The following is a 27,674-nucleotide window of genomic DNA, read 5'->3' as shown; positions in this document are numbered from 1 at the left end:
TCATCAACACTGGGTTGACCAGCTGGGGCTCAAAGCCAGAGCCGGTCTGGGAGAAGCAGGAGGCAGCCCTGCACTACATTCCCTAGATGGGCTCCAGGACCCGTTTCTAAAATGGAGGGGGAGAAAGAAGAACGAGGCCAGGTGAGGGGGCGGTGTGACTGTATTTAATTGAACCTCAAGTGAATTCTGAGAGGCCGGAGTGTGACTTCTCTTGCCCTATAAATCAGGTCCCCTGCAGCAAGTCAGCTCCATCTTTCACAGGGCTGGGCTGGCTGGATGCGCTGGCAGCCCCGGCTGGAGTAAGAGCCTGGCTGTCAGCCACGCAGGTGCCCTGCACAGGACCTGGGGCTGGGACAGGGCACCAGGCAGGCAGGAGGCCTCACCCCGGGGTGCAGAAGGCCCCAGGGGTAGCAGTTTACAGAAGATGTCTCAGTCCTGTAAGTAACAAACAGAAACAAGCCCCAGCGCTTCCCGGTCCCCTCCCCGTGGCCCGCACCAAACCCTAAGCTGTCTCCTAAAACTTCAGCTGTTTCCACCACCACGCTGACGACCAGAAAGACAAACCAAAACCCATATGAAGGGCAATCTTTCAATTGCTTAAAATTAATCAGTGCAAAGTGAGGTAAAAGATCCCCGTTTGTCAGGGCCGAGGCAGGAGGCTCACACAAGCCTGCGTCTCTTGGAGTCCCTCCCCAGGTCCCCCTCCTCGACATCCACCTCACAGCCCAGTGGGGACACCAGGTTCAGCAGAGGGTCCTCAGAGGCACGGCCGAAGAGCGCCAGCAGGAGGGCCACACCGAAGCCTGTGGCTCGCTCACCCTGCAAGCAAAGGGCAGGACACAGACTCTGGGCGTGGGGCTGCAGCACAGGAGGGGTTCCTGGGGACCCCTCACCTCCTGGGTCCCCTCCACGTGCCCCACAGTCCCCTTCTCAGGAAGGAGATCCTGAGCACCAGCCGGAGCCCAGAGCCTTCCATGCTGCTGGCTGGACACGTTCAGGGCTGGCAGGCCAGGCGTAGGCAGGGGGCAAGGCCCTGTGTGCTCTGCCTTCACCCCGGGAGCTCCTCAGGGTGGGGATGGGTGAGACAGGGCCCAGGATCCCCTATGGAGGACAGGCTGGCTGGGGAAGGGTCGCACACAGCAGCCACTCTGTTCCCAGGGAGGATGAGACCTGGGGGTGGTGGGGACAGCGGGCTGGAAGCTGGGTCACAGACAGAAGTTTCTGATGAGCTCTGCCAGCAGCTCCAGAGCCAGAGGGGCGCTGTTTGGACAAGCGGGCGGGAGCAGCCAGGGCCAGTGGGGAGGGGAGACACTCACAGCATGCACCGGTGCAGCAATGTCCAGGTGGACCCAGACTCCGGGCCAGTCGAAGCCGATGTGTGAGGCGATGAAGAGGCCAGCACAGGAGCTGGGGCTGTTGTCTCGGTCCTAGGGAGGCCAGGAGGACACAGTGCCTGTGGGTTGCTCCGGCCGGGCCCTCTCCACCCTGCCCCATCGCCTGTCACTATTGCTGTCTGCAAGGAGCTCGGGGTGGCTGGGAGGGAGCGTGTGGGGAGGCAGCAGAAGCTGGGCTGGGAGGGCCTTGACCATGAGCTAAGGAGTCTGCCCCCACCATAGGCCAAGGGGGAAGCCAGCAAAGGGCCTGATGGGGCAACTGAGCCAGACCCAAGACTGGGGGAGAAACCCTTGGCTGTGTGGCAGGGAAGCCAGTGAGTGGCCCACGCTGTCTGGGATGACTCCTGTGCCCTGACGCCTGCCTCTCAAGCCCTCGTCTGCACTGTGGCTGCTTCTGGGGGGCCCCAGCTCCCTGGGTGCACCAGCACCCTGAAGGCAGGGCTCCGCCTGCCCGGCTCCACCCATGTGGCAGGCTCCAGGTTCGAGGCTCCAAACCTACCGCCACTGAGTTCTTCATGTCCGCCACAGCTGAGGTGAACTCGCTGAAGTGCAGCTCGGGGCAGTAGACCAGCGGGTGCACCAGGTCCCCACACTTCCTGCCCGCCTTCACACAGGCGGCCTCCCACTCAGCGCTGTTGGTGAGCACCGCGGCGTGGTACTTCCCTGTGGCAATGCCCTGGGCGGGCAGGAACCCGGGAAGCGTGTGGACGGGACGGCAGGAGAGAAACACCCAAGGCAAAAGAGGGACCGGGAGGCAGACAGAGAAATAAGGGAGCCAGAAAAGAGACGGTTGAGAAAAAAAGAAAAAACACAGGCAGAAAGGACCATGGCCATGAAGCACACAGGAGGCGGTTCCCGGCTCTGCATCCAGCCTGGGCCTCGGTACTGCCCACACCAAGCTTGACGGGCAGCTCCTCCTGCCTCCTCGTGCCCAGTTATGAAAACTTCCTGACGGCAGCCCCCACGCGCTGCCTTCCCCACCTTGAGGTCAAGAGTGGGGTGGGGTTCCCTGGGACTACAGCTAAGGGGTGGATCCAGGGAGCACTCACCTGAGCCCCGGTCAGGGTGGCCATGTCCAGGATGATGTCGGCCCCCAGGTCCTTGCAAGCATAGGACACGCCATCTGCCAGCACCAGCCTGCCCTCGGCATCCGTGTTGTTGATTTCCACCGTCCTGGGGCATGGTAGAGATCCCCGCTCAGGGACGGGATTTCCTGGGACACTGGCATGAGCCCCTTTGAAACTGGGGAGACCCCATTTGGAGCTGCCCATCCCTGTGGCTCCCCGAACCCCAACACGTTCCCTGAATGGGAAGGCCGGGATGCCCCCAGTCCCTACAGCAATGCAGTGCCTGGAGCAAAGGGCTTCCAGGTGACATCCCTGCCCCGCTGCTCTGGAGAGCCAGAGACCAGCCATTTGGCTCTCCCATGCCTCAGTTTCTTCTTCTGTAAAGTGGGTGGCATGAACCGGCTGGGCTGGCCTTCAGCACACTGTGCCTGGCACCCGGCAGATGGGGAGGAAGAGCAGGAGATGCGGGGAGGCGCCCACTCAGGCACCAGCTCATGGGGCTGGGGAGAGGGCTCTTCTCTTTTGAATTCTGGAGCCACTTGCTCCTCAGCTGCCAGCTCAGCTTTGACTTTCCAGGGTCAATCTCAAGGGGGAGATGCAGGAGGTGTCCCCGAGCAGGGAATCTGGGGGTCAGAGCTTCACACACCCAAAGATTTCAGGCCTAAATTTTGGAAAGACCTGTCCTGGTAATGCAGGGTAGACCACGAGCTCCTGGGCCAGGCACTGCACGGGAGCCTAGCACCTCATCCAGGTGCCATGGGCCCCTCAACGTGAGGTGCGCCTGCTACCAAAGCTCCCCAGCCCTCCGGGAAGCAAGGAGCCTGCTGCCCAGGGGACCCCAACGCTGAGTGCCCTCCCGATATGCCTGGAGTGAGCTGGCATTGCAGGCCGGGAAGGGTCGCGAGTTCCAACAGTGGGCAGGAAGGAGTGGGAGGGCCAGACGTACTTCCCTGAGTACAGCAGGTGGATGTCATCTGGCCTTGTCGCATTGGGCCCCACCGAGTTCTCAGCCAAGCAGAACACAGCGTGGAGGTTGTCTTTGAAACCCTGGAGGGAGAAGTGGGCAGAGGCTCCAGTTGTAGGTCATAGGTTTGGGGAGGGGGGAGGACGAGCTGGGGGTTCTCAGACCCACAGACAGCAGGAGAGAGAGAGATGGCTCCAAGTTGCAGGGACCAAAGCTCGCCCTCCCTGCCATCCCGGGTACAGTCCTGGCAGATCCCAAGGCCAAGGCTCACCACTGGGGTTTCCTAGCCTCCCCTGGCAGAGGCCACCCGCCGCAGTGGATGAGCCTGGGCATGGGCTGGGCTGTGGGACTCTTGGACTGCATGGGCTGGGCAGTCATGAAGCCTCGCCAACCTGTGCCGACAGAAGGTGGCCAGCAGCCGCGTCCCCTCAATACACACACACACACACGTACACACACAGAGGGGCAGGAAGAGCTCAGCCTCGTGGAAGTTTAGGTGTGAAGTTATGGCTTTCTGATGCCAAAAGTCATTTGTTCACTGAGAAATGTGTGGCCAACAGATGGTGGCAGTTCCTGCCCTGCACAGGTTCTAAGGGTGCCCCCTGACCCCGAAGCGGGCCACACCCGGGCAGCAATGTCAAATGGAGTAGAGCTCCCAGACCCCTGTCCCTGCCCTTCCTCTGCTCCCGCAGACGAATCTTTAACCAGAATACATCCTCCTAGCATGGAGCATGCCTCGAGAGCGCGGACACACAGCTCTATAGGATCCAGCGTCTTTCTCATCTCCTGGAACAGCCGACTCTTCCACCACGGGTGCAGAGCCCTCACCAAAGGCAAACACTTGGGATGGTGGGGCAGGGGCAGCCAGCAGGGCAAGGAGTGGCCAGTGGCAGGAGCTGCAGCAGTGGTGCTGGGCATGGCAGCTGCGAGTCCCTGAGACCTCCCTGGGTCCCCGCTCAGTCCTTGAGCCTCACAGATGGCCCCGCACCCCCACGCAGCACAGGGGAAAGAACCCCACCAGCCTCAGGGTGATGATATCGGAGCCACCTGTCAGCTCCACAAGGGCCCCAAGTCCCCCGCTCCCACTCTCGCAGCCCAGCCTGTGTCAGGGACACGGGGCAGGGGCTTCAGGACCCTCAGCCTCCTCCTCTCAGAGCTCCTCCCCAGATACCCCAGCACTGACATTCCATCTGTGTGTACAGTGACCACGGCCTGTCCCTGTGCTGAGGCCTCCTGTGGTCATTCCAGGGAGAAGTGGGTGTTTAGGAACAACGAATAAATGACAGCATGACCCTGAGGTCACAGGATGAGGCCATGGGGCTCCAGGCCATGGACGCCACAGAGATGAGCTCCACCAACAAAGGAGGGGAGCCCTGAAGTCCTCCTAGAAAGCAGAGTTCTGGATCTGTAGCCTGCTGGGGCGTGGGGAGGAGGAGGAGAGGGGGAGGAGGGGGGGAGGAGGAGGAGGAGAGGAGGCGGGGGGGGAGGAGGGAGGAGCGGGGAGGAGGAGGATTCCCAAATGGATGCTTTCAGCCTCCCAGGGAGGGCTGCTACCCGCTGAAGGCTGGGCCCTGCCCCTAATTTCTGATCCAGCAGGTCTGGGGCAGAGCTGAGAACCCATATTACTAACAACATGGGGACCCCACTTGAGAAGTGCTGGCTTAGAAGACGAGCGAGCTGCAGTCCTGGGGCAAACAGTGCTGAGGTCTGCACGGCTGGAAGACGTGAGACAGAGACAGCACAGGCACGGCCCTGCCCTTGCGGCCCTCACGGCCAGTCTGGAGGTGTTCTCCAATCACCAGGAGCGGCTGAAAAAATCCAAGACTCAGCAGAGCTGGAGGTGAGCCCTGGAGCTGTCAATGTTCACACACTTCCTGGGTGTTACCTGGCACAGTTGGGACTTGCTGGTCTAACAGAAGAGGGTGGCCAAAGATGGGGCTGGACTGTGAGTGCTTCAGCGACAGCGTGGGAAGGGTCTCCAGTGCTACGCCAGGGCTTGGGCCTGGTCCCCCAGGGCGGCCAAGGGTTTTGGGTTGGTAAGTGGGTCAGGGGCTTTTTTTTTTGGTGCCAGGCTTGGAGGGTCGCTAACACCCCCAGAGCCCAGGGCCACCGAGCTCCTGGCGTACCCTTCCATCTTTGAATGGTACATCCTCTTTCTAAAAAGTTCAAAACATTTCACTGTGAAATAATTTCAAACTTACAAAAAAATTGCAGAAATAGTCACAAACAGCCAGGAGCAGTGGCCCATGCCAGAATCCCAGCACTTTGGGAGGCTGAGGTGGGCGGATCACTTGAGGTCAGGAGTTCAAGACCAGCCTGGCCAACAAGGTGAAACCCTGTCTCTACTAAAAATACAAAAATTAGCCAAGGGTGGTGGCACATGCCTGTAATCTCAGCTACTCTGGAGGCTGAGGCAGGAGAATCACTTAAACCTGGGAGGCGTTGCAGTGAGCCGAGATCGCACCACTGCACACCAGCCTGGGCAACAGAGCAAGACACCATCTCGGGGAAAAAAAAAAAAAAAAAAAAGCCACAAACAATTCCTCAACACCCTTCACCCAGATTCTGCCAATGTCAGCATCTTGTCCAGCCATGGGACAATGGGCAGCAGGGGGTAGTAATCACCAACACAGGACCATCACCTCTCGGGACCATCCAGATTCCATGTGCTCCTCAGACGTCCAGATCAGATCAGACCACACATCAAGCCTGGCCTGCTTGCCCTCCTTAATCTGGGCGACTGCATAGTCTGGCTTTGTCTTTTGTGGCCTTGGCACTTTCAGTGCTGGGTTTGTCTGACGTGTCCTTGTGACTACAGGCAGGCCATGCATTTTTGGTGGGAATCCTGCAGAAATGCTCTGTCCTTCCCTGTACACTGCCTCTGGAGGCATGTCAGGTGGCTCTGTCCCTGCCCTGGTGACATGCCCTGGGACACCTGGTTAGGCTGGGTTGTGAGTGTCACCACTATAAAGCTGCGAGAGGCACTCTGAGAGCATTTGACTGTCCTCTTCCCATCCCACTCTCATGCTCCAGTTCCAGCACTGTGGGCCACTCTCACCTGGAATGAAGCCTGGCTGTGGGGTGACGACTTCCTGTTTCCATCACTACCTCTGCAGCCTGAAACTGGGATTCAGTGTGAGAAACGGTTCTCCCCCATTCATTTATTCCTTCAGTGATCTATTCCTACCAGTGTGGACACGTGGATGCTGATTTTATTCTCTGGGTAAATGCATTACCCTGAGGATTGATTCTGTGGCTCAGACAGAGGCGTATTCCTTTCTAAGAGGCCAACAAGGATATGTGAAGGCCAAGCAGGACATTCGCGTTCACAGTGGAGCCTCCAGGCTGGAGCTCTTGTGGGAGGGGGATCTTTGTCCAGAGTGGGGGTGGGGTGTCCTCAGCACCCCTCAAATCTAGAGGTGCTCCTCCACCTCTAGAGGCCGCAGCACCTCTAGAGGTGGAGGAGTGCTGAGAACACTCACGGCTGCTGCCTGATGAATCTGTGATCATTTGTCAAGTGGCTTCCTGTGAACAGGGAATTCAAGCTCAGAAGAGTCTTCCTGCTGGGGCATTCCCAGCCAGCCTGTCCCAGAGGCAGGACAGACCCTCTGTTGGAGGAGTAACCAGGGGTGAACGGCAAAGACGGCCACAGAGGGCTGGCCACACGGCTCCTCCAGAACCACTTGCCCACCCCTGCCCCCGTGCCACCCCAGAGCAGCAACTGCTCCCTTCAGAGAGAGCTGCCCAGCGAGCACCGCACAGCTGGGCCCGTCCGCCTCAGCATTCTTCTGGTGAGCCCATCTGCCAAAGCCACGGGGCCTGGGCAGAGGCAAGGAGGAGGGCCAGGTAGTGGGAGCCCAGAGCCACCCTGCCCCGTGGCCTATGATGCTGGGGCAGTCAAGACCCTCCTTGAGTGCCAGCCGTGTCCCTTGGTAGTTTATAACCAGTGAAGGAGTAGCGCACAGAGGACACATGCTCCTCCTCCAGCCTCTTCCGACAGGCTCTGCAGTGGACGGGCCACGGCAGGTGCTCATGGAGGCATGGGGCTTGCAGGCTGCGTACAGCCCCAGCTGTGTGCTCAGCACGAGAGAAACAGCCGTGAGCCCTAAGAGGCCGTTTCCAAACCCGTGCAGAGCACAGGTGAGGGCCTGCCAGCCCCTCCTGCCCAGGCCGCCTCAGCCCCGCACCTCCGTGTCCCCACCGGCTGGGCCTGGTAGCAGAAGCCCGTCACACAGTCTGGAATGTGCACGGCCAGCTGGGAAGCCCCGGCAGAAGGAGCTCCTTCCTCCTGGGATTCCTCCTCCTCCCTCACGGCCAGGAGCAGGACCCTCCAGATTGGAAACTACTTGCCAAGGCCTTTTTGTTTTTCCATTTCAAGTTTACCCCAAGGAACTGGGTTGCTGGCCTGAGAAAGGTAGGCTAGGAAGGTAAAACCTCGGCTGATGAGTCAATGCACACTCCTCATTGGCCTGTTTCTTTAGACAGGGTCTCGCTCTATCTCCCAGGCTGCAGTGCAGCAGTGGGATCTTAGCTCACTGCAGCCTCAACCTCCCGGGCTCAATCGATCCTCCGCCACCTCAGCCTCCCAAGTAGCTGAGACTACAGGTGCGCGCCACCACGCCTGGCTAGTTTTTAAATTTTTTTTTATAGAAACGGGGTCTTGCAAGGTTGCTATGGGTAGTCTTGAATTTCTGGCTTTCAAGCCATCCTCCTGCCTCCGCCTCCCAAAGTTCTGGGATTACCAGCATGAGCTGGCCTCTTCATTTGTTTAATAAGCACTTTTTATGGCCCCAGGGACATCTGGGCTCCATGGGAAGGTCACTCAAGGTCACCCCCCACCCCCCCCACGCCCCCCGAGTGACTACTGCCACTGAGCAAGGGCTAAGCATTGGGGCACCTGCCCACGCAAGAGAGGAAGGGGGCCTGGCCAGGCCTGGGGGTTGGAGGTGGTGACTTGGTGAGACCAGTCACCAGAGGCAGCTCTGCTGCAAAGAAGGGTTGCGGGAGGGGTACGCAGAACAACGTGTGCCCCTGCCATGAGCTTCTGCCTGCCACATGCCATGAGGGTCTAGGCCAGGCTTCCTCATTGAGCCAACCGCTCATGGGGCTCTGGAGCCAAGGCAGGCCCTGAGCAGAGAACATGGCTGCACCTTGCCCTCGGGGCCTCCCAGAGCAGCTCTGATGAAGGCGGGAAGCTCTGGGGGCCCCAGAAGAGCCTGGGGGCAGAGGGGGGACAAGCATCCGCTGGGGAGACTCGGGTAGGACCCTGGTGGGGCCTGTGGCGGGACGGACAGGGGAGAGGGGAGCACCCACGAGGCACACCCAGGATGCCCCTGCAGAGGGCGGGCAGGGCCCACTCACCTGCTTGATTGCGGCTCTGAAGGCCCCCAGGACGGCCGCAGCACCCCCGCAGTCTCGCTTCATCCCCGGCATGGTAGTCTGCGGGTGGTACAAAGGGACCAGGACAAAGGTGAGCTGTGAGGTCCAGGCCTGGCAGCGGAAGCCCCCCACCCCCACCCGGCCCCACGCTAGCCCCACCTTCCCCAGCTCTCAGGCCTGGGCAGCCCCCACACCAGGCCTCCTGGGCACCCACAGAACTCATGAACCTCATATTGGCCAAGTGGGGTGTTCTCCAGAAGCAACAGGGAGTCATGGCCATAGATGGTGAGGCTCCCTTTTGTTTTGACAGAACTTTGGGGTTATCAAACAGTAACTGCACGGAGGGGGAACCCGAGGAGATGCCCGGAGCTGCAGAATTCGCTGTGGCCGGGCTCTGACATTGAAACAGGGACCCCGTGCTTTGACGCCGGGCACCCTGACCTCAGTCCCGGGCTGCCACGCCGCCTGGGGGTCTGTCTGCAGGGCCACTCTCTCCACTCCTCCGCACAGCGTGAGAAGGAAGCTGAGGTCCAGGGAGCCTCTGGGGCTTGCTGGAGGTCCCTGGCCAGCACCTCAGGGACCTGGGTGGGCTTGCGTGCTTCCTGCACCCATTGCAGATTCCTAGTGTGCTTATGGCAGGGAGGAAGCCTGAGGGGCTGCTGCCGCAATGCAAACCTGCCCTGGCCACCTGTCGCCCCCCAGAACAGGGCCTAGCTTCCTCTCCCTGGCACTTAGAGGGCTTTACCACCTAACGAGACTTAGGCTCAGCATTCTCTGCCCCTCATCACAACCTTGAATGATGGTGAGGGTTGATGTGAACTCTTCGCCAAAATCAGTCACATCCACCCCCACTGACACCACCAGCAGTGAGGACACCTGTCGCTCCTTCATGTCACTGCCAGGTCTATCGCCAGAAGAAGGGGCCACCTCTGCCCTCCTGCTAGTTCACACCTCCTGGTTAATAGTTCACACCTCCTGGTTAACCTGGGTCTAAAGAGGGGCCACCCTTCTCCTGCAGTGTCCACACTGTTTCCTATACGCTGGTTGACAGTGTTACACATTTTTACATTTTACAGGTTCCCAAATCAAATTCACAAGTTCATATTTTAAATTAACAGCAGGTCCTCAGAGGTAAAGGTTTGGGTATGAAATTTACTGAATCATTTTTGAACCCTTATCTTATTACACAAGCTTTGAATTTTAGTGCAAAGTATTTTTAGATGTAAATTGAGCTGCTTTTATAATTGAGTGAAAATGACCCATCTTGTACTACTGAAAATAAGCCATCTCTTCTGAGCTAATCTGTTTGAGAAAGCACAGGATTGTTTAAATGGAAAAACAGGGCCTCCGATCTGGAATCAAACCATGTGCAAAATGGGTCACACAGCAATGCCTGGAAACGGCTGCTCACTGTACACCATGTCTCCCCCGTCACAGCTGCCAGCTCCTTCCCAATTGCAGGTGGAGCCAGGACTGGGCTTGCAAATACAGCTCAACTGATTGATTGTGCAAAGTTTCACCAGCCCCCATATGTTGTTTCTGTTTTTATAGAAGAAACCATTTTCGCAGTGATTTAAGACGGTCTCTGCCTTTTTCACGGGGCTGACACTTACACCCCCTGTGCTGGAGTATCAGGCCACAGTCCCAAAGAGGTCCGGGAGCCACTGTATTCGTTTCCGTGCCCTCTGGGAAAATGAACCAATGCCAATTTCACGTTAGAATTTCCTTGCTGAAGCAGTAAAATTAATTTTTAAAACTCTCAACCCTTGGGTACAATACATTTTCCATATTCCGTGTGACTCATAATGTACTCCTGCTGTTGCTGACGGGCAGTGGTCGGTCAGAGCAGAAGCTCAGCTGTGATTGCTGGGGGAGTTCTGAGCTCCATGAGCCACTCTGGCCACGACACCATCTTTACTTGAAAGAAAAACTGACAGACAAATGGCATTTAATTGGATTTAGGTATCTGGCAGATATTTCCCAGAAAAGGAACAAACTGAGCCTCTTACTTCCAGAAACAGCTGACATTATTTATTGCCAATGGTATACATTTGAGCTTTTAAGCAAAAATCAGAATTTTGAAAAACTTTCTCCTATCACCATGACAACTTCCTCATAATGAGTTTTCTGATGAGATGGATGGTGATATTAAGTGATTTTTTGATACTATATAATGTAATGTGTCAAAAATTTGAATTTCTGCAGAACTCTGTGAACCAACATTTTTCAAGTGAACATTCATTTTTCCATGAAAAACCACATGTTCAAAGTGAGAGAGAACAGCGGATTTAACTGCCACAGAGCCCAAAAGTCTATTCATGAGGCTTCAGATTCCATGTTATAACCAGCCTTTAAGAAGCTACCACTTGTTGAGTTTTGGTGTAGTAGCAAAGAATGTTCATAGTTAGTTAGCTGAAAAAGGTACTAAAATCCTTTTCCCTGTTTCAACTATAAAATGCGTGAGGCCAGATTTTCTTGATACAGTTCAACTGAAACAACACATTTCCATAGACTACATCGGAAGCAGACGCAAGGTCCCTAGCTGTCTTCTATTAAGCCAGACACTGACAGGATTTGTGAAAATGTACAACAATGCTACTCTCTCAGTAAATTATTTTTTCATTTTGGAAGATGCTTATCTTCATAAAATTATTTATGATAACATGCAATGGATTTATATGTTATTTTTAATGAATTATACATGTTATAAATTTCTCACTTTTAATTTCCAGTAGAGTAAATATCAATAGACATTGTTATACAAAAAGCCTCTTTGGGGTCGGTACTTGTTAAGAGCGTAAAGGGGTCTCCAGTAATGCATTTGAGGCCTGCTAGTCCAGGCTGGTCTTGAGCTGCCCTTGAAATCTTTGAAAATGGAGCTGTGATTTTTTTTTTCTTGCAAAACTGGGAGCTGGGCTGGCTCCAGCCGGCTTGCTTTTTGAGGAGTGACCATTTCTGCACCATTTGCTCTACAGGCAGCCACTGGGGAGAATGCCTGCTGCGTTGCGTCTGCGTTTCACACCAGGCCGTTGGGGAGAGATTGTGAGCGCCTTCAGGTCAGGATTGGGGTCTTTGCATCAATGGCTGGAGCCTCAGCGCCCACTCCACACAGTAACAGCTCAGGAAAGGCCTGCTGGTTGATCCCAAATCCACGTAGAACGGTTCCAACTGCAGCGGGGAAGATGGGCTGGTTTAAAATAAAAAACCAGGTATTGTTTCACTGGTGCCAGAACACCCAGCTCTTCCTGGTATTATGGGGTCTGCAGACCAGGTGGACCCCGGGAATAGGCAGGGGCTATAGTCGCATTTTCAGAAGGTGATCTGGAGCCATGGAAAATGCCCTACTCTCTGGCAGTTCTACCAGCCACCCTCAGACCACAGCTTCCCTGAAGGCTGTGCAGCTGTGGCCTCTAGGGAAGGCCTGTGTGGTCAGGTTTTTCCTTTGTGTTAATTTCCAGGCCGGGAGCTGACTAACTGCACAGGTCTACCCACAGCCACATGAGATGAAGTCAGGTGCAACGATATTTTCCCTAAGTGACTAGAGTTAGTGCCACAAGCAAACGAATGAATTCCCAGGAAGCTCATCTTCTCACATTGGTCCACAACAAGCCGACATCAAAAACAAGCATCTGATCCAAGGAGAAGAGGGTCCACGACTCTACCAGCCAGAATGTAGCGGCTTCCAGGGTGACCGTGGGTATTGAGGGTGCGTGCGAGGGTGGGAGCAGCCAGTACCAGGTGCAGGCAGTAGGGGGTGCACTATCTGTGGCGAATTTAGGAATCATAACCGACTAGAAGTCAGTTTGCTTATTACCACCGTGTGCCGGTATCTCTGAACAAAGTCAGCAATAACATATTCCTCCTCCGAAAATCTGTTGTTGATTGAAGTTTAAAAAATTGCTGTGGCTACGGTTGCGTTTTAATCACACAAACAAAAGCTTCAAATTCGCATATCGTTGTTACTTATCCTGAAAGTAACATTACATGGACGTTAGCAATGACCCGACACAAAATCTACTACCCACATTCCTTCTGAGAATCGCTCTGACAGTCAGATCCTGTGGGCTGGCTCTGGGCACAGTCGGGGCCTCCAGGGCCCATGATTTCCTACCTCCCGGTGTCGAAACAGAGGACCCAAAATAAAACACGAGAGTGCGGGATGGTCAAAACGAAGACGCGGAACCTGCGTTCCTTCACTTCCCTCATTCCATGTGAACACTTGGAGTTACTGTGTCCAAAATGCTTTTGTTCTGCAGACATCTGAAAGCCACAAGAATCCACCCTGAAGAACTGAACACACAGTGGGTGTTGTGATTGCTGGAATTTACTGTGAAATGGGATTTTTAAGAATCTCTGCCAAATGATACCGTATTAAAGACTTTTCCTAAGTATCTGTGTATCTGTTGCCTCACGAGATTGGAGCTCTTCAAAATCAAAGTTAACAGATAGTATTCTTGGACCAACTATGAGTGAAGACAGCTGGCAACTCTGCCTACTGAACATACATTAGTAAAGAAGATCAATTTAAATGAAACCATTGTCAAACGTGTAGATGCTAAGACCCAAAGCCAGAAACAAACATTCATTCCACCATCTATTACCCCAAGAGACCCATAGGGAGGCATGTTTTTTCTATTAAAAAAAAACAAAAAACCCTTTTTATGATTAGTGTCATTTTCTGCTTAGTTCTAAACAGTTTTGTGGTTTAGAGGAGGGATGGGAACTGCTCATCCTCTCCAGGTATGAAATAAACTAGGCGTGCTAGAGAGCGCGGCGAGCTGCACCAGCGCCACCCTGAACAGCAGCTGACACTAGGGCTCAGTGTCAGGAAGGCAGCAGCAAGTGGTGGGGCCTACCGCAAACCAAACTGGAGAATGGGTGACACCAGGGGCAGGCCCACTGGCTGCAGGGGAATGCTGCCAGGCGGGAACAGAACGCCAGCACTGGCAGACCTTCTGAGTGCACAAAAGGCCGGAAATCCAGGCTTTGATGAGAATCCTTCCTGGTTTCAAATATTGGTAGCTAATTCAAATTTTAAAAATGCCAGGCCTCCGTGAGCCTTGCAGGCTGCTAGTTTGCAGTGTCTGCTGCGGATGCACTCCCTGCTCCTTCCAGACCTCCTGAGGTATGTACTTCCCAGTCTGCTCCCTCCCTGTCCTTCCCAGCCCAGGCCTGAGCACAGAGGCTGCTCACACGGTGTGTAGGATGAATGGATGGAGATGGTGCGGAGGAGGGCAGGGCTTGCTGGGGCGGGCAGACTCGGCCACGACGGGGGCTCCACAAGCACCTGTCCTCCTGGGATGGCAGGACAGAAAGCCGTACCACGGGACAGGCTTCTAGGGCCACCGCACCGGGATGTTCCCGGGTGACTCGCTTCTGTGCCGTGCCCAGATTCCCCTCGCTCTTGGGGGTCACGTGCCTTTGGAGGGTCTTGTGTGGCCACTCTGAGCGTTTTCTCAGTGGGGACCATGGGCAGACTCAGAGACACAGGCGTCCCCTTGCCCTTCTCTTCTCGGGACAAAGCCCCCAAGCAGCAAGCCCTGCCTCCCTGGCCCTGCTTGCCATTTCTTCCGTCATTTCCGGGGCTGCTCTTGGGCCCTGGCCAGGCTTTTGTTTCCAGACCCTTCTGAAGGGTGGGCATGAAACCCAGGGAGCCACGTGAAGCTGTCGCCTCAGCACATGGGAACCCGCCCTGCGCACTCTCCCCGAACCCACCCCAACCCAGAACCCCCAGAAACCTCGCCGCCCCCCACCCCATGACACCTCTCAGAGGGCTGGCTGGACCCAAACTGGGCCCCTCCCCCCCCCCCAGGGCACCCTGGAGAGCCTGCCGGCACCTCACCTTCCCCTCCCCACCCCACCCCACCCCAACCCCAGGGCACCCTGGAGAGCCGGGCCCACACCTCACCTTCCCCTCCCCACCCCACCCCACCCCACCCCCAGGGCACCCGGGAGAGCCGGGCCCTGCACCTCACCTTCCCCTCCCCTCCCCCAGGGCACCCTGAGAGCCAGCCCGCACCTCACCTTCCCTTTGATGCTGAGGCCTCCAGTGTCATAGACGATGCCTTTGCCCACCCAGGCGATGGTCTGCGTGGCTCCATCTGGGGTGTGGCTGAGGACGGCCAGGGCTGGGGGATGCAGGGCGGCTTTGCCAACCCCATAGATTCCTATGGAAAGCGTGGGGAGAACTGGGTTAGGCTCGGGCTGAGCTGAGCGGGGAACTCCCAGAGGCCCCTGGAAACTCTGGCCGGCTGGTGTTTCTCCTGGAGAGCCGCCTGCCTGAGCCTGGTGCTCCCTGCCCCTTCTCCTGCCCCTGGCCAGTGTGGGATTGGGGAATGCAAATTAGCTCCAATGTCTGAGATTGCAAACAAATTCTATGCAAAGTGTTGTTTGTTAAGCAAGAAAACCCACTAAGGGAAAAAAATATTGTATCCTTTCCAGAAAGAAAAGAACAGGATTGCAGAATGAAACGATGTTTGGATAACACCTCAAGGCTGCCCCAGCCCATGCTCGTCCCCACTTCCTGAATCCTTTGAGCACTCAGGGACTGCACCGCCCTTTCACACTCGCTCCCACAGTCCCTGCACCACTGCCTCTTTGGTTTACATGACACATCTTCTCAAGAAAGCTGTGGCCTGTGCGTGTGCAGAGTCTATGGCTCAAAGTCCTGCAATAATTGAGTCAAACAATCATAGCAACAATGACGAGAGCTAATCATGGCTGCCTGACAAACTCCAACTCATCCTGTAAGATCCACAGCAAATGCCACCTCCTCTGTGAAGCTTTTCCTGACACAAGCGGCCTCTCCCTCCACTTGTAAATGGCTCCTGTCTAGGTAGACACCACCAGGATGGCCCCTGTGGCCCCCACGTCTGGGTATTCATGTCCTTGTGCAGTCCCTCCCCCTCATGTGAGCAGGTCCTGATGTCTCACCTCTAACCAAAAGAAAAAGGTAGAAGTGATGAGATATCACTCCTGGGATTAGGTCACAGAAAAAGATGGGAGTTTCCATCTTGTTTGCTCGCTCTTTATCCCTATCTCTCGCTCAGAGACCTTGCTCGGAGGGTGGCTCAAACAGCAAGGACCTGCTGCCTCCAGCTAATGGCCTGTGAGGCCCTGAGACCTGCCAGCAGCCTGTTGTGAGCCTGCCCGGAAGCACATCGCCAGCCCCAGGCAAGCCCTCAGATGACTGCAGCCCCAGCCAACAACCTGACAACAGCAGGCAGAGACGCTGCACCAGGGGAAGATCCCCAACCCACAGCACGGGGAGGGGATAAGTGTTGCTGCATTCAGCTGCTATCTTCCGAGTGATTTGTTTTGTAGCCACACATAACACAGACAGCCGCCTTCCTCTTGCCAGTCTACAAGCACCACGGGGCAGCTGAGTCATACTTATCTGCCCCTCTGGTTCCTGGGCAGTGGGGAAAGGTGGGTCTGGGGACTTGGGGAAGGCCTCTCTGAGGAGGGGGCATTGGTTGAGATGGCCTCCACCAAAAATATATCTTGGGGGAAAGTATTCCAGATAGGGAGAGCCATCCGCACACAGGCCCTGCCTGCCGTGATGGGAACTTGTGTATTCAAGGAACAGAAAGGCCCTGCTGAGCCAGTCCCAGGAGTAAGGGTGTGCAGCACGCGAGGACGCTGGAGAGGCTGCAGGCAGGGAAGGACTTGGATCTAGCAGCTTCCAGAATCCAAATCAGAATCTGGATTGCCTCCCCTTCTCCCCCAGGGACGGCTGCTTCCCAGGGTCCGGCACTGGGCTTGGACACAGGCTGATTCCTTTCAGGTCACAAGCAGGATGAAGTTTGGGACAATGTGCCATGTGGCCCGCCGACCCCCTGCCACCCAAGTGCCCCTGGCCACTGCCCGAGGCCAAGAGCTGCAGGGATGCAGCCCCCACCCACCTCCAAATCCTCTCGTCTTCAGTTCCTCATCCCGGATGATGGTTGGGATGATCCCCAGCTCCTTTCCAACTTTGTTAATCTCCTGGACATGTTCATGGAAAAAACAACAGCACAACAACACATGAAGATGGCTGGAAACAGGAGAGGCCGAGGCTGGGGCCAGGGATGAACCGCTGCCTGTGCCGCGTCGGGGAGCCGGGCTTGGGAGCCAGCTTCGCGTGTGATGAAACCCAGAAGAGGGGGCTCACCCTCCACACACTCTCATTTCCTGTAGCTCTGGCTGTGGTCCTGCCAAGGGGCCTTGAAGAGGAGGCTCTGTCCTCCCCACACACCCTTTCCTGAGGCTTCCTGGAGCCCGGCAGACAGCAGCGCTCCGCCGAGGGCAGCCCTGAGGTTCCCTGGCCACGTCAGGGTGTGGACAGCCCCAGGTTTCCTCTGGCTCTCCTGGGAGTCTATGACACCCACCCCAGCCTGGTCCCACCCCCGGCCTGATGACGCCACAAACCTCGAGGAAGGTGTCGGTGTTCATCTCATTGCAGGGTGTGTCCACGATGCGGGCTGCTAGCCGCACGCCGTCTGTGGCATTCGCTAAGCACTAGGGAGAAAAAGGCCATCACTGGGGACCAGGTGGGAGGCAGATGTTCTCCCCTTGTCCATCCCCCAGGAACAAAAGGCAGCAGAGGCAAACATCACCCACAGGGCTACTGACAGGGCAGCAAAGAGAGGGGAGAGGGGGACCATGGCTCTCGCTGCCTGCCCCACCCCCAGCAACCCAGGGCCACCGGCCACCTGTAGAAAGAACCTTCAGCACAGCCACCACCCTGCGCCTCCACAAATATACAGGAGTCCCCAGCCTGGGGTCCTGCCCTTCTGTATCTGGATCTTTTCCAAGCCCTGTGTCCTGTTTCTCCCCTGATTCCAGCTACAACTGAAGGTAGGTGGCCCTCATGCCAGCCCCTGAGTATGCCCTGAGCTTCCCACGCCTCACCTCTGCAGATCCCACAGTCCTTTCCCTCCCACCAAGATCCCAGTCATCCTTCGAGGCACTTCTCATAGGCCGTATCTACCAGTAGCTTTTCCAGATCCTCCCCACCAAGCAGAAGCACTCTACATCCTGAGTGCTTGAACCTGCTGGCCCTCCCAGACGCCTTCCCTCTGGGCCGTTGCTTTCCTCATGAGTCCCACGCAAGTCCCTCATAAACCCTGCAAGACAGATGGGGGTCTGGCTGCCCTAGTGCTGTCACTTGACACAGCACGGTTCTGGGCACGGAGGGGAAGGACACAGAGGGAGGTCTCGCCTCATGGAACTGACGTGTCCACCCAGGAACTGAAAACATGGGCCCTGCTGGCCTGGCAGGGCTTCAGAGCCCACACTCGAAGGCAGGGCAGAGAGGGGCACATGCACCAAAGCACACATCACGTGGGTCCCAAAAATGTGTCCTTCAGCCCTGGCTTGGGCCATTCTTTGCCTTCTCATGTGTGTCTCACATCTGCCCTGGGAGCTTCACTCTCTCTCAGCTGAATCTGCGGGCACCCCTTCCCCACCCTGTTCCCCACTGTGCATCCCCAGGCACAGAAGCTTCAGACAGCTGGCTGCTTGCACGGCCTCCCTTGCTCACCAGAAAGACAATATTAAGAGAAGAGCAGCGCTGTTTTGCGGGGGTGCAGGACAGCAGCAAGTTTATCATCCCTGCCTCTAGTCTCATAATGTCAGGGCAGCAGGCGCCGGGTCGATACTGCAGCCTGGCCACCTCCCCCGCCCTGCCGAGGTAATTAAACCCCAAAGCCTCAAAGGTAGAAACCTGGACCTTGACAGCTCTGATATGAATGTGCCTGAGCCGTCCCTGCCGCCTGTCAGCGGGTTCTCTGTCTGTGAGGGCATGTGGGGACTCGACAAGGACTGTCTGAGAAGTGCGTCAATGCTGTGTGACTTGCCTCCAAGGAGGCCAGGTGTCACCTGGAAGACCCCAGACCACGGCGAGCTCGGGGCTCTGACGCAAGAGCGCTCCTGTGGGAGGGAGGGCAGGGCTGCGGGTGCCCTCCACCAACACACAGCCATGCTGCACTGGGGAAGGGTGTCCCTTACCATGAGAGGAGGACCACTCATTCTGTCCACATGTGCCAGGCATCGTGCAAGACTCTGAGAATTCAGAGACGTCCAAGGGAGTCAAGCTCAGCAGAGACTCACAGTACACAGTCCCAGTCCCTGCTACAGAAGAGGATGAGGCCACAGGATGCAGAGGGGACAGGGTCCTGGGTGGGGACTGGAAGGTTCCCGCAGGGAAGAAAAGGGAGAAGCTGAGTACAGGCCACGTGGGTGTCAGATGATGGTGTGCTCAGGACCCAAGAGGGCTGAGTGGTGGCAGCTGCAGCTTAACACCTGGCTCTGCCCCTTGCTGCCGTGGCCCCGGTGAGCCACTCAATGTCGTGGGGACAACAGGATGTATCTCACAGGGCTGTAGTGAGAATTCAGTGCACCAGCACGTGCTGTGTGCACACTCCTGCCTCAGCGCAGGGCCTGACAGCTGACAGCACTCAGAAGATGCCACCTTGCACACACCCAGATGTGCCTTTGGAAGGCGAGTGACGCAGGAGCTGGAAGGAGGCCATCTGTGGCAGGGTGACCAGGAGACTGCTGCCACAGCCCAGGAGAGCACCTCAAGGCACGGCACTGGGCAGAGCAAAGACAAGAAACAGGACACACTAGCTAGTTGGGACCAATGGGGTCGGGGGCCATGGGGACTGACTGCCCCCACTGGTTCCATCACCAGATGTTTACTGGGCCTTTTTCATGTGTGGGGTCGGGTGCTGGGATCACTGTGCACAAGACCAGGTCCCTGCCCTCTGGGGACTCCCAACCCAGTGAGGAGCACAGGAGATCAACAAAGATGTGACATGTCTAGTAGTGATGGTTTAGCTGACAAATGGGAGGGTGGTGCTAGCCAAGAGGGCCAGGCCTCCCTGGGGAGGGAATGTGGGCAGAGGCTGGATGGAGACCATGCTGGGCTGGAGAGGGAAGGACCCCTGCAGAGGAGCAAGAGCAGGAGTGGGCGTGGCCAGTCTAAGGGACAGCAGGAAGTCCACAGGAGGGGAAGGGACTGAGGGCAGCAGAGGTCAGGGTGCCCTGCTGTCCTCGGAAATAAGGGTGATGCTTGAGCCCCCGGTGGGCTCTGCGGGCACCCGTGCCCACCTGGATGGCAGGCCTGGAAGTCAGAAGAAAATCCCTAAAGACAGAGAGAAGAGGCAGATGCTGGTGTCTGACCCGGAGAGGGCTGAGCAGGTCGGAACGCTGGAGAGGCCATGAAGGGGATGCCGAGAGGTGGCAGCAGTCTGGGGAGCAGCGGGAGGGAGGGAGACCTCTGGATGGGGCAGATGCACTTCAAGGAGGGACGGCAACACCCCATCCAGCAGTCCTTAGAAAACAATGTCAGGATGGGGGCAAAAACTCTGTCTCCATGGGTTAAGAGGGAAAAGAGGATTAAGCAAGGCAAACCAGTTAGACTTTTTTAAAAGCTCAGAGACGAAGGGAAAAAAGGGGAGCTATCTCATGCTGGTGAAGATGGAAGAATTTGGGTTGAGGGGCAGTGGTTACAGGCCTCAGAGAGCACACAGTGAAAGAAATGAGGTGTGGCCCAAGTGCTGATGTGGGAGAGCTTGCCTGGGTGAAGGCGACAGCCTTCCAGAGCCAGAAGTGAAGAATGAGCGCTGACACATGAGAAAAGACAACCTGGGTGGCGCTGTGGGCTCGGGGACTGGAGGTGGCAGGCGCAGAGGCTGGGACCGCTGCCGTGGGGACAGGAGCCTGATGTCAGGCCCATCCAAGGATCTGGAGCTGGGAAATCACTTCCGGCCTTGCAGCCTCAAAAGGATCATTCTCAGCATTGAGTGAAATAACACATGTAGAAGTGCTCCCTGTAAAGGGTGCAGCAACACACATGCACACACACCACACACACACCACTCATGCACACACTAGCACTCATACACACACAGCAACACACACAACACACACACACACCACTCATGCACACACCAGCACTCATACACACAGCAACACATGCTGCTCATGCACACACCAGTACTCACACACAACAACACACACCACACATGCACACACCACACATGCACACCACACACACACACCACTCATGCACACACCAGCAAACACACACACACAGCAACACATACCACACGTACACCACACACACCACTCATGCACACACCAGCAAACATACACAGCAACACATACCACACACACACACACATCACACATGCACACACACACCCCCCACACATACAACACATGCACATACACTCATACACGCACAGCAACACACATGTGCACGCACATACACACACACGTGCATACATCACACACGTGCACACGGAGCTCACATAAACGGGCAGGGTTATTTGGAAAACAGCATGGACGTTCCTGGCACTGATTACGTGCTCAACAAACACTGCCTGTATACAACAGAATCCTGAAGTCACAGACCACGCTGAGGCAGAGGCAGGGGGCCTGGGTTTGGAAAAGCCTCTGCCGCTTCCCAGGAACCAAAGCTCCTGGGAAGGGCAGGAACCCCCTCCTGCCCCCGCAACAAGCTTTTCCCTCTCCCGACCTCCCTCCCACCTGCCCGATCTTGCCCGGGCCCAGGGGCAGTGTCTGCCCTTCCAGACACCCACCTGCAATGTGGACACCTCCACCGGCCCGTTGTCTTGTCCCACCAGGAAAAACTCCACGGTGACCGTCTTCTTCTCCAAGCGCCGAGAGGCACCTGAGCGGTGGGTGAACAGCGGGAAGGCCCGGGCCAGGGCACAGGCGGAAGCAAAGACCTCCGGCTGCTCGCAGACCATCTGTGGCACATAGGGAGACGGCGTGAGGGGTGCAAGGGCCGCCACCAGGGAGTGCAGGGAGCTGCTCTTTGAACGCCTCCGGAACATCAGCTCCCTGGCAGGTGACATCTAGACAGAGATGTCCCACAGCAGCCGCCACCCCATCCCTCAGGTCATCCCCGGAACCATGGGACCACCATTGGTCATGCTCCAAGAGAAATAACACATTGGCCACCAGATGTCAACAGCCTGACCAGCCATGAAAATGAGGGACAGAGGGACAGACACAAAGTGGGCCTCAGGAAATCTAGGTTTGAGTCTCTGATTTGCCACCAAAACTGATCTGGGGCAAATCCCCGCGTCTCTCTGGACCTGTTTCCCTGTCTACAGAGCAGGGATGATAACGTCCACAGCCCTCTGGGCGTGCGCTGCAGTCTGAGCAGGGCTGTGAGCTCCCCAGGCCCGAGCTCACCGCTGCCCGACTAGGAGCACCGTGGCTGCCTCCTCTCGAAGCACTCACCACAATGCAGCGATGCGCTCCGGGCGGCAGGCAGGTCCGCACCAGCCGCGTGATGAAGTGGGCGGCCGAGGGGCTGTTGTGCCGGCTCACCCTGCAGGGCAGGGCAGCCACGGTGGCGTAGTTCAGGTAGAGGGGACAGCTGTCCGTGGGGTTGGGGTTGAGCGTGCTCAGGGCAGCCTGCCAGAGCTAGATCAGAAGGGAGAGACAAGACACAGAGGCTTCAAACAGCGGCCACGTGCCAGGAGGCCCTGCCCTGCAGCCACGGCCACAACCACTCCTGCAGTCCTGGAAGGGCACTGCGCAGCTCCCGGCCACCGTTTTCCCATCCTTAGGGAGATGTGTCGCCTCTCTGCAGAGCTAACTGTCTCTAGGCTGGCTCGCATCCCCCTGGTGGGATGAAGCCACCAAGCCTGGAAGGGCCAGGCTGGGGGCTGCTTTGCTTCCAACACTCGGATAGGGCTTAGGCGGCTTCCACCAGAGAGGGGGCAGGGGCCAGGTGTCCCCAAGGAAAGGCAGCTGGGGACACTGCCATGGGAACTTCTGGAAGCCAGGGCCTGTCGCCAGGCGGGGCCGACGCGCGGCCCTGGGAGCGGCCACGTCTCCCCCCCCGCCGTCCGCAGGTGTCGCGGCCTCGCGGGGCGCAGGGCTGGGCTGACAGGAGGACCACCGCGCCGCACCGGCGACGGGGCCTGGGGCTGGGCCTCCGCGGGCGAGGACTGGCCTGGCGGCTGAGCCCTTCAGGGAGGCGGCCCGGCCTCGTTGGGCCCGGCCCGGCGGCGGCGGGGGTGCGGCGGGCGAGGCGGGGCCTCCGCGGGCCGCCCGGGCCTGGGCTTCCGCGGCGCGGGTCGCATGGCGGCCGGCGGCCCGCTCACCTCCTCGGTGACCCGGGGCTGCAGCTTCCCGCGGACGTGGCTCCAGGGCACGCGGTGCAGGTGGTGCAGCTGCCCGAGCAGCAGCAGGGGCCGGCTCTGTGGGTCCGAGTCCCCCGCGCTCGCCTGGAACTGCAGCCCCACGTTCGCCATCTTCCTGCCGGCCCACGCCCCGGCCCTGCCCGGCCCGGCCCGGCCCGCCGCTCGGCCCCCTTCGCCCCGCTCCGGCCCGGCCTCGGCACCGCCCCGGCCCTGCCCGGCAGCCCGCGGGCCCCGCCTCCCCCGCCGCTCCGGGCTGCTCGCGAGACGTGCAGGGCCCGCCCGGGGCGCGAGGGGGCGCCGGCCAGGCCGGGCGGAAGGGTGCGGGCAGGCCCGGCCGGGCAGGCCCGAAGCCGGCCCCGAGCAGGCCCTGCCGAGTAGGGCCCGCGCGCCCGGCCTCCAGCGGCGCCGCCCCTGGGCCTAGCGGCCCTGCCCAACACGCGGGGCGACGTGGCCCGCCAGGCAGCGCCTCCCGGACGGGCCTGGCCTCCAGTGGGGCCTGGGCCGACGTAGGCCCAAGCCCACCCGACGCAGTTCCGCCCGGTCAGGCCTCAGGCTGGCCCCAAGCAGGTCCCCCGAGGTCCCTTAGCAGCTGCTTTTGATCCCCAGGGACCCCGCACCCTGGCCACCCATCAGTTAGGCCGGAGGGGCCCAGTGACTCTTGGACCTGAGTCAGGTCCTTTTGTCCCACTGCCTGGCATGGTGGGTACAGCGTGGACGGTCACTTCCTCCTCACTTAATCGGAGGTTCCCTGGCGTTTATCAGACCCCGCTCTGCCAGGCACTGCCCTGGATGTGAGAGGGTGACAGGGACGTGGCTTTCCATCCAGGGCACTGCTGCTGGGATGGCCAGTTACAAATCCAGGCACTGCCTGGCTGCATGGGGGGCCTTCCCGCCCACCCCTTTGCAAGAAGGGTCATCTGGCACAGTCTAAGCAGGAAAGGAGGGACGAGATGAGACGAGGAAGGAGCAGGGTGACCTGAGTCACCTCAGTCGCCTTACAGGGGAGGAAAGGCCATCGGGGGTGTGGGGCAGGAGCCGGGTGGTGGAGGAGCCAGGGGTGAGCCTTGAGTGGATGGTGGAGGCGGAGGGTCCCACCCACAGGGTCAGATGCAAGGGTCAGGGAATGACGATGCATTGGGGAAGCTCCACCCAGGAGTCATTTAAAAGCAAAAATCTGTTACCCAACATCCTGATTGCTCAAGGGCCTTTGGTTGGTACCCTCCTCTGTTACCTCCATGTAGTTCCATAAGCCACTCCTGTTATTTTGAGTTTCTTCTTCATAACCAGCCTAAAAATGAAAAAAAAAAAAAAAAAAAAAGAAAAGAAAAAAAGAAAAAAAAGCACTGTCAACTCCCTGGCGTGGTGTGAGAGGTTTTCCACCACTGACCTCCCAGCTGGCCCCCTAGCTCCCTAACTTGTAGCCCCGGGAGCCACAAGCCAGGCTTTCACCTTCCCTGTCCACAGGCTCCAGGTCTGTCTGCTCAGCTCTGAGCCATGGTCCCTGGCCCCTTGGAAACACCACAGACTAGAGCTTCAGCATCCTGAAGGCAGGTCTTTTTGACTTTTTGTTGTTTTTTTTTCCTCCAGTTCCTGGCACAGAGCAGGCACTCAAAAAAAAAAAAAAAAAAAAAAAAAAAAAAAAAAAAAGCTGTTGAATGACTGAAAGGCATTCCTTTGAAACCCTCAGCTTTCCCGACATAAAAGTCAACGCTAATTGGATCTTATTTTCTTCAAAAGATTTTACAGCAGCTGAATGTTTTCACACATTGGTAAAGGGTACTAACAGTGTGTATGAAGATCTCTCACTCTTTTTTCTGTTTGCAAATACGTTGCAGACAGGCACACGGCACTCCAGAGGACTGAGACAGCTGGAGGATCTTCCTAGAGGGTGAGAGACTAAGGCCATGCCCTGACAGATGTAATAGGACTTCCACAGGCGAAGAGATTGAGAAAGAAGGCCTTCCACGTGGGAGAAGTCCTGGGAGGAAACACAGACGCAGAATATGTCCAGCAGGCTCTGAAACCTGTGTGGTTAGAACAGAAGGTTCCTGGAAAATAGGAGTGGGTGAGGAGATCGACTGGGGAGCCTGGCTCACTCTATAGAATTTTGCAAACTGAAGAGGGATCCAAGAAGCATTTCAGAAAGCCAGATCTAGCAGGTTTGTGTACAAGGAGTTGGAAATGAGATAAACTGTTGGTGGAGAGGTCATTTTGGAGATGTTTTTCTTTTAGAATTCTTTCATATTTAAGAATAGACTGAATAACCCTGACAGTCCCCAGAAAGGATGAACAAAATGATTCAATTCAACCAACATTTGTTGAGCACTTAGTGTACACAAAGCAAGAGAAAACGTTAGATGCTTGTTAAAAGCAAATATTGGTGATTCTGGTTTTAAGCCACCCCCGAATTGAAGAAATCCAAACTAAACAGAACGCTAAGGAATTATTCCACTTCAAATGCCTGCCAATTTCCTCAAGATTCAGCTTGTGACAGATACAAATACATTCCAGGAAAGTACTTTCCCTTTTTCACTGCTGACTTTACAGACTTTAACATAAATAAGACAGGCAGCACTTTGTTTAGATAAATTTTTATGAAGGTATTAATCCATGGCTTACTATATATTTCACTGTCAATGAAAAATTCAACTCTATTTAATTTTCCTTAAAAAATGAAAGTTTAAAACAAATTACCAGATCTTTAATGCAACCCAAAAATCAACTTATGTTTTTGATGGCTTGAAACCTATTCCACATTCAATTGGATGTTCAGACTTTGCTCCAAAGTTGAAGAAAAGATTAAAAACTTCTGGGACAAATCAGAATAAAGCTCCTAGAACTTACTAGGATGTTTTTTGGTACAGTTCACATTCTAGGACACATTTCTGAAATCCTATCTTGTAAGATGGCTCTAGGTGTTTGAAATCTACATTTATATGTTAATTTCATGTCAGACTTCACCCCTATAAAACCTAATGCCTGCTTAGACTCAGCTGATTGCCACGAGGCTCTCAGATTCCATTATATCCGATACTTCAAAGAAACATTTCCTCGGTGCATCTGCTTCGTATTTTCTAGCATTTTCATTCATTCATTCATTTGACATACATTTGTTGAACATCAGTTCTGAAAAGCTACAGGACCCGTGAGGCTTTGGGGACGCAATAGCGTGTGTGTGTGTGTGTGTGTTTGTGCATGTGCACGCATATGTGTGTGTGGCCAGGAGGAGGAAGGGGAAGCAAGTAGAACAGTAAAATCCAGAGATCCAGTCACTGGGAGAAGATTGAGTTAGGGAAGGCCCCTTGGACTACGATGAGACTTTTGAGTTGGGCCTGGAGGGATCGGTTAAAGTGTGTCAGGCAGTCTGATCCCTGACCAAGGAATTGTTCATGCAAAGGCCTGAAGTAGTAAAGGACATGGTTCATTCTGGCACTGTCAAAAGCTCATGTGGAACCAGGCCCCGTGGCTCAGGCCTGTAATCCCAACACTTTGGGAGGCTGAGGCAGGTGGATCACTTGAGGCCAGGAGTTTGAGACCAGCCTGGCCAACATGGTGAAAACCCATCTCTACTAAAACTACAAAAATAAGCTGGGCATGGTGGTGCATGCCTGTAATCCCAGCTACTCGGGAGGCTGAGGCATGAGAATCACTTGAACCTGGGAAGCGGAAGTTGCAGTGAGCCGAGATCACGCCACTGCACTCCAATCTGCAGGACAGAGACTCTGTCTCTACAAAAAAAAAAGAAAGAAAAAGAAAAGCTCCTGTGCCAGATATAAAGTGCGCATAAAATATATACTGACCTTGCAGGTTGTACTTGACCTTGCAAGTAACTGGAGACCAGTGGAAGTGCCTCAGGCAGGCCTGAAGTGGAAGCAAGGAAGGGCTCCTTCCTGCTTCAGAATGACCTGCTCGTGAGCCCAGAGGAAGCAGAGGCAGGCTCAGCTCCAAGGACCTCCCTGAGCAGCTGGCTGAGAAGTGAGCCCACAACCAGTGAAAACTGTGACAGCTGCACGACCGCCTTGAATGCTGCCCTGCGTTGTGGATGTTTGTGCTGTCCCTTGCTGCAACCTGAGTGCCTGCACAGCAGGGAGGGCCTCCGTTGCCTTTTGCAACTGGCACCAGACATGCCACCTAGATTTGCACTAAATGTTCCCTGAAGGGAGGAAAGAGAACTCGTTGCCATGAAAACACATTTCTCTAGAAACTTTTTTGAAAAGTTCATTAACTTTTGGAAAAGATGAAAAACTAGTATAATGAACACTTGTATACCCTTCACCTAGATTCATACATATATATACAGATACACACACACACACACCACACACACACCACACACACATACACGCACACACCACACACACATACACACACACCACACACACACACACCACACACACCACACACACACATACACATATATACGCACATACACACATGTATACACACACAGACACACACATACACACAAACACACACATAGACACACACACACATAGACACACACACACACATATATACACACATACAGGCACACCTCGGAGATATTCTGGGTTCAGTTCCAGACCGCCACAGTAAAGTGAGGTATGCCTCTATATACACAAACATGCGTATATGTGTATGTGTGTGTATGTATATATGTATATGTATATGTGTATATGTATATGTATGTATGTACACATATTTTTCCCTGTACCATTTA

At 55.9% G+C, this 27,674-nt stretch overlaps 1 protein-coding gene and 1 long non-coding RNA gene across 4 annotated transcripts in view, besides 9 other annotated features; both read right to left on the bottom strand.

Moving 5' to 3' along the window:
* Window positions 1-808: an enhancer, noted in NCBI's record as "H3K4me1 hESC enhancer chr20:57290235-57291042 (GRCh37/hg19 assembly coordinates)". NCBI's record gives its function as "activates a minimal SCP1, AML or CMV promoter by ChIP-STARR-seq in primed H9 embryonic stem cells {active_cell/tissue: H9 hESC(primed)}" and the evidence as "EXISTENCE:reporter gene assay evidence [ECO:0000049][PMID:30033119]".
* Window positions 143-26,856, bottom strand: NPEPL1 (aminopeptidase like 1). 3 transcript variants are annotated; one of them, NM_001204872.2, is made up of 13 exons: window positions 26,776-26,856; window positions 24,157-24,263; window positions 22,065-22,250; window positions 21,395-21,565; window positions 17,214-17,303; window positions 16,709-16,790; window positions 14,829-14,971; window positions 8,787-8,864; window positions 3,408-3,508; window positions 2,444-2,567; window positions 1,894-2,070; window positions 1,317-1,427; window positions 143-819 (listed from the first exon to the last, which is right to left on the bottom strand). In NM_001204872.2, the coding sequence occupies exons 2-13, from the start codon at window positions 24,220-24,222 to the stop codon at window positions 661-663; spliced, it is 1,488 nt and encodes a 495-aa protein (NP_001191801.1). In that variant the 5' UTR covers window positions 24,223-24,263; window positions 26,776-26,856; the 3' UTR covers window positions 143-660. The 3 variants fall into 3 exon arrangements, with proteins under 3 accessions (NP_001191801.1, NP_001191802.1, NP_078939.3); NM_001204873.2 differs by having other exon boundaries at window positions 24,207-24,263; NM_024663.4 differs by lacking the exons at window positions 24,157-24,263; window positions 26,776-26,856 and adding an exon at window positions 22,937-23,187.
* STX16-NPEPL1 (STX16-NPEPL1 readthrough (NMD candidate)) overlaps window positions 143-27,674 on the bottom strand; it is a 64,592-nt gene continuing 37,060 nt past the window's right edge. Inside the window, exons 9-23 of the long non-coding RNA NR_037945.1 lie at window positions 24,760-24,953; window positions 24,425-24,582; window positions 24,207-24,263; window positions 22,065-22,250; window positions 21,395-21,565; window positions 17,214-17,303; window positions 16,709-16,790; window positions 14,829-14,971; window positions 10,418-10,489; window positions 8,787-8,864; window positions 3,408-3,508; window positions 2,444-2,567; window positions 1,894-2,070; window positions 1,317-1,427; window positions 143-819 (exon numbers count right to left, since the gene is read on the bottom strand). This is a non-coding gene — a long non-coding RNA (STX16-NPEPL1 readthrough (NMD candidate)). The remainder of the gene's footprint in view (window positions 820-1,316; window positions 1,428-1,893; window positions 2,071-2,443; window positions 2,568-3,407; window positions 3,509-8,786; window positions 8,865-10,417; window positions 10,490-14,828; window positions 14,972-16,708; window positions 16,791-17,213; window positions 17,304-21,394; window positions 21,566-22,064; window positions 22,251-24,206; window positions 24,264-24,424; window positions 24,583-24,759; window positions 24,954-27,674) is intronic.
* Window positions 13,422-13,953: an enhancer, noted in NCBI's record as "H3K27ac-H3K4me1 hESC enhancer chr20:57277090-57277621 (GRCh37/hg19 assembly coordinates)". NCBI's record gives its function as "activates a minimal SCP1, AML or CMV promoter by ChIP-STARR-seq in naive H9 embryonic stem cells {active_cell/tissue: H9 hESC(naive)}" and the evidence as "EXISTENCE:reporter gene assay evidence [ECO:0000049][PMID:30033119]".
* Window positions 13,954-14,486: an enhancer, noted in NCBI's record as "H3K27ac-H3K4me1 hESC enhancer chr20:57276557-57277089 (GRCh37/hg19 assembly coordinates)". NCBI's record gives its function as "activates a minimal SCP1, AML or CMV promoter by ChIP-STARR-seq in naive H9 embryonic stem cells {active_cell/tissue: H9 hESC(naive)}" and the evidence as "EXISTENCE:reporter gene assay evidence [ECO:0000049][PMID:30033119]".
* Window positions 21,001-21,608: an enhancer, noted in NCBI's record as "H3K4me1 hESC enhancer chr20:57269435-57270042 (GRCh37/hg19 assembly coordinates)". NCBI's record gives its function as "activates a minimal SCP1, AML or CMV promoter by ChIP-STARR-seq in naive H9 embryonic stem cells {active_cell/tissue: H9 hESC(naive)}" and the evidence as "EXISTENCE:reporter gene assay evidence [ECO:0000049][PMID:30033119]".
* Window positions 22,672-22,761: a silencer, noted in NCBI's record as "silent region_13079". NCBI's record gives its function as "represses an Ori minimal core promoter by ATAC-STARR-seq in GM12878 lymphoblastoid cells {active_cell/tissue: GM12878}" and the evidence as "EXISTENCE:reporter gene assay evidence [ECO:0000049][PMID:35858748]".
* Window positions 22,782-22,861: a silencer, noted in NCBI's record as "silent region_13078". NCBI's record gives its function as "represses an Ori minimal core promoter by ATAC-STARR-seq in GM12878 lymphoblastoid cells {active_cell/tissue: GM12878}" and the evidence as "EXISTENCE:reporter gene assay evidence [ECO:0000049][PMID:35858748]".
* Window positions 22,892-23,051: a silencer, noted in NCBI's record as "silent region_13077". NCBI's record gives its function as "represses an Ori minimal core promoter by ATAC-STARR-seq in GM12878 lymphoblastoid cells {active_cell/tissue: GM12878}" and the evidence as "EXISTENCE:reporter gene assay evidence [ECO:0000049][PMID:35858748]".
* Window positions 23,049-23,754: an enhancer, noted in NCBI's record as "H3K27ac-H3K4me1 hESC enhancer chr20:57267289-57267994 (GRCh37/hg19 assembly coordinates)". NCBI's record gives its function as "activates a minimal SCP1, AML or CMV promoter by ChIP-STARR-seq in primed H9 embryonic stem cells {active_cell/tissue: H9 hESC(primed)}" and the evidence as "EXISTENCE:reporter gene assay evidence [ECO:0000049][PMID:30033119]".
* Window positions 23,062-23,551: a silencer, noted in NCBI's record as "silent region_13076". NCBI's record gives its function as "represses an Ori minimal core promoter by ATAC-STARR-seq in GM12878 lymphoblastoid cells {active_cell/tissue: GM12878}" and the evidence as "EXISTENCE:reporter gene assay evidence [ECO:0000049][PMID:35858748]".

Source organism: Homo sapiens, chromosome 20 (assembly GCF_000001405.40).
Source record: "Homo sapiens chromosome 20, GRCh38.p14 Primary Assembly".
In the NCBI taxonomy this organism is placed as follows: domain Eukaryota; kingdom Metazoa; phylum Chordata; class Mammalia; order Primates; family Hominidae; genus Homo; species Homo sapiens.
This window is presented reverse-complemented; position numbering and strand designations above follow the sequence as displayed.